Source organism: Homo sapiens, chromosome 3 (genome assembly GCF_000001405.40).
Source record: "Homo sapiens chromosome 3, GRCh38.p14 Primary Assembly".
Taxonomy (NCBI): Eukaryota; Metazoa; Chordata; class Mammalia; order Primates; family Hominidae; genus Homo; species Homo sapiens.
Genome location: NC_000003.12, coordinates 184,069,709 through 184,077,253, shown reverse-complemented (window position 1 = coordinate 184,077,253; position 7,545 = coordinate 184,069,709). Strand labels below are relative to the sequence as shown.

The following is a 7,545-nucleotide window of genomic DNA, read 5'->3' as shown; positions in this document are numbered from 1 at the left end:
GGGAAGTGAACGTTCTTTCGCTCCACATAACCTCCTCCACAAGATCTTCCCAAGCAACACCGGAAAGGAGTTAAATTATTGTCAATAGGACCTGAGTTATGTTCTAGTAACTATAGTTTGGTAGAAAGGCACAGTTGGACGTTACATAAGAGTGGAATTGGACAGGTGGGAAAGTGGAGGGACAGACAATTTGGTAGATACCTTTGCTGGCAAATGAGAGTGGGGCTGTATGTACTGACCAGTGAAATCGGTGTTTCATCTGCAACAAAGAGGAAGCCAAAACATAGATCCTACAGAGAATTTTAACCTGTCTGTTTTGAATTTTCTGCAGCTCTGGAGAATGAGAAGTTTCCTGGATGTTGCCCTAAACAATATCCCCATCTTCCTCTGTGCTTGTCCTATCTTACCTTGAAGCAGAAGGCTGATAGTGAGGCATAACAGAACACTCCCAGGCCAGCAGGCCACCTCCCTCCATCCTTCTCTCCTGCGCTCTTGTCTGGAGACTCATCGGGATCCCCCCAGATGATCCCCCCAGACTCATCAGGATCCCCCCAGCTCCTTGAGCTTGAAGGAGCTGGGACCACTTTGGTTGCTGGTTTTGAATCTTCCTGTCAGGGGACCACTCCCTTTGAGAGGCTGTGGCCAGAGGGATCCCAGCAGAGTGTCCTGCCATGCTCCTGCCAAGTACACCTTCTGGGCTCCAGGCAGGCAGGAAGTTGGGCCAAGAGGAGGGAAGAAGCACCTATTTGGCACTACTGTCTAAATGAGGTTTTTTTTTGACAGAGTCTTGCTCTGTCGCCCAGGCTGGAGTGCAATGGCGTGATCTTGGCTCACTGCAACCTCTCCCTCCTGGGTTCAAGCAATTCTCCTGCCTCAGCCTCCCAAGTAGCTGGGATTATAGGCATCCGCCACCACGCCCGGATAATATTTTGTATTTTTAGTAGAGATAGGGTTTCGTCATATTGGCCAGGCTGGTCTTGAACTCCTGACCTCAGGTGATCCACCCGCTTCGGCCTCCCAAAGCGCTGGGATTACAGGTGTGAGCCACCGTGCCTGGCCTAGATGAGTGGCTTTAAATCTGTGTTCCAGGTACCTTTCAGAGAAAATGGGGCAGGTGAGGCCATTGACAAAGGCCTTATCACATCTTTGTGGAACTAACTGCCTCAGGGGAAGGGCATGGGCCACCAGGAAAGGAATGGTTATGCTGTCTCGTGGTGGGGACACCTGCTAGTTTTAGAAGGCAAGAACATGCAACAATTTTCTTGCAGACATAGAAATGTATTCTTTACTGTGGACATTAGGAATTATCATCAATGTTGAGTTAAGAAGCTCAGTTCAGAAGGTAAGCTCCATTTCATTACATAAACCCAAGTGACAGATCTCTGTCTCCACAGCTAGCACTGAAGCACAGATCTGCATCATTCCTTGTTTGCACTATTGCAGTAGCCTCTCCATAGGGTGTTCTCTGTCTGGTTTCTCCCCAGTTGAATCTTTCATTTTTGTCATTCTCCTAAAACAGAACTTTCCAGCTTACCCTTTCTTGTCTAGTATCTCTAAAGCCTATAGCCCTGGGGCCACTAGGGAGTAAGTATGGGCAGAGAATCATTTGATGAACTTTTTGAAATACCTGCACACACATGCTTCCACCCCCACTGAGAAGTGTGTGTGTGTGTGTGTGTGTGTGTGTGTGTGTGCGTGTGTTTAAAAGCTTCCCAACCAGCTCCGGCCTGGCCAACATGGTGAAACTCTGTCTCTACTAAAAATACAAAAATTGGCTGGGCATGGTGACTCATGCCTGTAATCCCAGCCTTTGGGAGGCTGAGATCACGAGGTCAGGAGATCGAGACCATCCTGGCTAACGTGGTGAAACCCTGTCTCTACTAAAAATACAAAAAATTAGCCAGGCGTGGTGGCGGGCGCCTGTAGTCCCAGCTACTCGAGTGGCTGAGGCAGGAGCATGGCGTGATTTCAGTAGGTGGAGCTTGCAGTGAGCTGAGATTGTGCCACTGCACTCCAGCCTGGGCAACAGAGTGAGACTCCGTCTCAAAAAAAGAAAAAAAATTAGCCGGGCGTGGTGGCGGGCACCTGTAATTCCAGCTACTTAGGAGGCTTAGGCAGGAGAATTGCTTCAACCCAGGAGGCGGAGGTTGCAGTGAGCTGAGATCACACCACTGCACTCCAGCCTGGGCGACGGAGTGACTCTGTCTCAGAAAAAAAAAGAAAAAAAATTCATAAACTATGCGGTAAACAGGTGTGCTATCATCTAGGCTTTGTTGTTCTATTTATAGAGCATAGACAGAGTAAATTTAGCATCATTCTTAAGGTCTCTAGAATTCTCCAAATGGCAAATAAGCATTGGCTTCAACTTAATCACCAATGGCCTTAGTGTCTAATAAAGTCAGTCTGTCCTTTAAAGCTTTGAAGCGAGGCATTGCCTACTCCTCTCTAGCAGTGAAAGTCCTAGATGGCATCTTTTGTTTTTTGATACGGAGTCTCTCTGTGTCACCCAGGCTGGCATGCAATGGTGCCATCTCGGCTCACTGCAACCTCCACCTCCCGGGTTCAAGCAATTCTCCTGCCTCAGCCTCTGGAATGGCTGGGATTACAGGCACGTGCCACCATCCCCGGCTAATTTTGTGTTTTTAGGAGAGACAGGGTTTCGCCATGTTGGCCAGGCTGGTCTCCAACTCCTGACCTCAGGTGACCTGCCTGCCTTGGCCTCCCAAAGTGCTGAGATTACAGTTGTGAGCCACCGTGCCCGGCTGATGGCATCTTCTTCTAAGAGAAGGCTCTTTCATCTATGTTGCAAATCTTTGTCAATGATCTTAGCTAGATCTCTGGATAACTTGCTGCAGCTTCTTCATCAGCACTTGCCGCTTCTTCTTGCACTTGTATGTTACAGAGATGGCTTCTTTCCTTAGACCTCACGGACTAACCTCTGCTAGCATCAACCTTTTTTCTGCAGCTTCCTCACCTCTCTTAGCCTTCACAGAATTGAAGAGAGTTGGAGTCTTGCTCTGAATTAGGCTTTGGCTTAAGGGACTATTATAGCTGGTTTGATCTTTATTCAGACCAGTCTAACTTTCTCCATATTAGCAAAAAGGCTGTTTCCCTTTCTTAACATTCATCCACTCACTTGGGAGTAACACTTTCAATTTCTTTCAAGAATGAACCCATGAAATCTGCTTCTCATCTCTGCAACTTCGGGCTGTGCTGTTTCAGAAGTCTTAGAGGAAGGCGTCCACCAGGTGATACAACAATGTTTCCATTAAACTGGAAGTTGAGACTACCACTTGACCAATTTGGACTCCGCATGCCCTTGAATTGACAGGCAACAAAAGGGGTGGTTGATCCTGACTATCCTGGGGAAACTGGGTTACTACAATATGATGGTGGAAGAAGGAGAATGACAAGAATGCAGATGCCGTGAGGTGCCTTTTAGCACTCTCAGGTCTTGTGACTAAAGTCAGTGGAAAACTACAGCAACCTAAAACACGCAGGACTGCTAAATGCTCAGTCCCTGGAGGGGTGAAGATTTGGGTCACTCTATCAGGCAAGAAACCATGGCCAGCCATGGAGCTTGTTGAAAACAAAAGGAATATGGACTAGGCTGTGGAAGAAGGTCATTGTAAGTACCAGATATAACCATATAACCAGTCACAGTCATGAAAACTGTGATAGTTATACCTATTTCTTCCTCATTTTGATATGAATATATTTGTGTATATGTTAGCCAGTTTTTTTTTCTTCTCTTCTCCCATGTCCTTCCATAGAACATAATATATGTTAACAGTAGTTAACTGTCTGGGTGCAGTGGCTCAAGCCTGTAATTTCAGCACTTTGGGAGGCTGAAGTGGGTGGATCACTTGAGGTCAGGAGTTCGAGACGAGCCTGGCCAACATGGTGAAACCCCGTCTCTACTAAAAATACAAAACTTAGCTGGGCATGGTGGCACGGGCCTGTAGTCCCAGCTACTTGGGAGGCTGAGACAGGAGAATCGCTTGAACCCAGGAGGCAGAGGTTGCAGTGAGCTGAGATCATACCACTGCACTCCAGCCTGGGTGACAGAGCAAGACTCTGTCTCAAACAAAACAAAACAAAACAAAAACCCAGAAGGCTGAGGCAGGAGGATTGCTTGAGCCCAGGAGTTTGAGACCAGCTTGGGAAACATAGTGAGACCCCCATCTCTACAAAAAAAAGAAAAAAAAATAGCTGGGTGTGGTGGTGTGCGACTATAGTCCTCGCTACTCAGGAGGCTGAGGCAAGAGGATTGCTTGAGCCCAGGAGTTTGAGGCTACGGTGAATTATGATCATGCCACTACACTCCAGCTTGGGTGACAGAGTGAGACCCCTTCCGTATTTTTTAAAAAATAATAAAATAAAGAAAAAAGAAAGCTCTATTGGTAAGGGATCTTTTTCTGGGAAAGTCTCCTACTTAAATTTCTCTCATTATTTGTAAAACCCTTTATTTGGTCTTCATTCTTTTTTTTTTTTTGAGACAGAGTTTCACTCTTACCCAGGCTGGAGCGCAATGGCACGATCTCGGCTCACTGCAAACTCTGCCTCCTGGGTTCAAGCAATTCTTCTGCCTCAGGCTCCTGAGTAGCTGAAATTACAGGCATGCGCCACCACACCTGGCTAAGTTTTGTATTTTTAAGTAGAGACAGGGTTTCTCCATGTTGGTCAGGCTGGTCTCAAACTCCCGACCTCAGGTGATCCACCTGCCTCGGACTCTCAAAGTACTGGGATTACAGATGTGAGCCACCATGCCCAGCCAGTCTTCATTCTTAAAAGATCATTTTGCTACGTATAGAATTCTAGATGGAATTGTTTCTTCCTGGCATTTAGAAAATATCTTATTGTTTTCTGGCTTCCTTTTTTTTTTTTTTTTTTTTCAGAAGTTGGCTGTCAGTTCAGTTGTTGTTTTTTAAAGTGAATTGTTTTTTTTTCTCTCTCTAGTTGGTTTTTTTTTAACTTAGTTTTTTACTATTGTTCTAAAATAGAAATAGAGTATTATGTGTAACATAATACTTACCATTTTATCCATTTAAGTATACAGTTCAGGGGCATTAAGTACATTCACATTATTGTGTGATCATCACCATTATCCATCTCCAGAACTTTTTCATTATCCCAAACTGAAACTCTGTACCCATTAAACAATAACTCCCACTCCCCCTCCCTCAGCCCATGGTAACCACTATTCTACTTTCTGTCTTTATGAATTTGATTATTCAATACTTTGACTATTATATATATTTATAATTTTATATATAATATGGTATTTATAATTTTGACTATGTCTATAAAAATATATATTTGACTATACTTTGACTATTCTTTTTTAAAATTAAAAAATACTTTATTGCTAAAAGATGTCTATCCTTATCCAATGCCCTATCATCTCAATTGTTGTGTCTTTATAGTAAGACAAAGTCAAATAGTGTAATTCCTCCACCTTTGTTCTTCTTTTAAGCATGCTATGACTTTTATTTCACAAGCTGATTCTAAAGTATATATGGAAATGAAAATGCCTAAAAATAAACAATTTACTTTTTAATGCTTTTTGTTTTTTGATTAATAACATACCAATTTATTTGAAAACTTTATTAACATTATTATATTTTTTCTCAAGAAATATAAAGATATGCTTATTCTGAAGTGCAGATTTTTAAAACTCTTAAAAATTAAAAGAAAAATGTAATTGTGGCAAATACACATGATATGGTTTGGCTGTGTCCCCACCCAAATCTCAACTTAAATTCTGTCTCCCAGAATTCCCATGCATTGTGGGAGGGACCCAGGGGGAGATAATTGAATCATGGGGGCCAGTCTTTCCTGTGCTATTCTCGTGATAGTGAACACGTTCCACGAGATCTGAGGGGTTTATCAGGGGTTTCCACTTTTGCTTCTTCCTCATTCTCTTGCCGCCACCATGTAAGAAGTGCCTTTCCCCCTCCACCATGATTCTGAGGCCTCCCCAGCCATGTGGAACTGTAAGTCCAATTAAACCTCTTTTTGTTCCCAGTTTCGGGTATGTTTTTATCAGAAGCGTGAAAACGAACTAATACAACACATAACATAAAATTTACTGTCTTAACCATTTTTAAGTGTGCAGCTAAGTAGTGTTAAGTACATTTACATTGTTGCACAGCCAATCTTCAAAACTCTTTTCATCTTTCAGAATTAAAACTCTATATCCCCTCTCCTCCTTTCCCCCAGCTTCTGGCAACCACCATTCTACTTTTTGTCTCTGTGAATTTGACTACTGTAGGTACCTCATATAAATGGGCTCATACATTTTTTGTCTATTCGTGACTTTATTTCATTCAGCAAAATGTCCTCAAGTTTCATCCATGGTGTAGCATGGGTCAGAACTTCTGTCCTTTGAAAGGCTGAATAATATTTCATTGAACGCACATACAACATTTTGTTTACCTGTTCATTTATTGGTGTCAAGAGTACTTTTTACAGCATATTTACTATAATTTGTCCAACAACTTAGTACTTTGTACCAGCCAAAGGCTGTTTTAGAATTCCTAACTCACCACATTGCTTGAAGCACAAATCCTCTCATTCTTTTTTTTACCAGTAGCGTAGCATTCCATTGTATGGATGTACCATGATTTATTAACTAGTGTGTTATTAATGGAAATTTCCCATTTTTTATATAGAAAGCAGCACTGCAACAAACATTTGGGTGTGTGTGTATGTATATTTAAGTATAAATGTAAGATAAATTCTTAGAAATGGAATTGCTAGGTCATATTTAATTTTGATCTATAAAGCCAAATTTCCAATAGAAAGTGTCACATATTTTCTAACTACATCTCAATATCCAGAACTCATAAAACAAAGCATTAATAAATCCAATTATACCAAAAAAGAAAAGCTTTCTGCATGACAAAAACTCTTTAGCTAAATCAAAAGCAAATTACAAATTAGGAAAAAGTATTTGCAATTCGTATCCTAGCAACAGACTAATCTTAATATAAGGCACTCCTCCTACAAATTAAGAAAGAAAAGACTCAATAAAAAAATGGGGCCAGGTGCTGTGGCTCACGCCTGTAATCCCAGCACTTTGGGAGGCTGAGGCGGGCGGATCATGAGGTCAGGAGATTGAAACCATCCTGGCTAACATGGTGAAACCCCGCCTCTACTAAAAATACAAAAAATTAGCTGGGCATGATGGCGGGTGCCTGTAGTCCCAGCAACTCGGGAAGCTGAGGCAGGAGAATGGCGTGAACCCAGGAAGCGGAGCTTGCAGTGAGCTGAGACTGTGCCACTGCACTCCAGCCTGGGTGACAGAGCAAGACTCCGTCTCAAAAAAAAAAAAAAATAGGAAAAGTCCAGCTACAGTCAATTCAGGAAAAGAAATGTTGCAGCTTCTTCGCTCCCATAGTTTGGTGAGCGGGATGGAGTGTTACAGCTCTTTCACTCCTGCAGTTCGGCAAGTTCCAAATTCTTATGTCATGACTAGGAGGAATGAGGTACACTGACACTGGAGAGTGAGTAAGGCAGAGTAGAATTTTATTTTATTTTTAA

At 42.7% G+C, this 7,545-nt stretch overlaps 1 annotated feature.

The window, feature by feature from the left end:
• Positions 5,887–6,087: a silencer, noted in NCBI's record as "peak4963 fragment used in MPRA reporter construct". NCBI's record gives its function as "represses an SCP1 promoter by STARR-seq MPRAs in K562 erythroleukemia cells {active_cell/tissue: K562}" and the evidence as "EXISTENCE:reporter gene assay evidence [ECO:0000049][PMID:32103011]".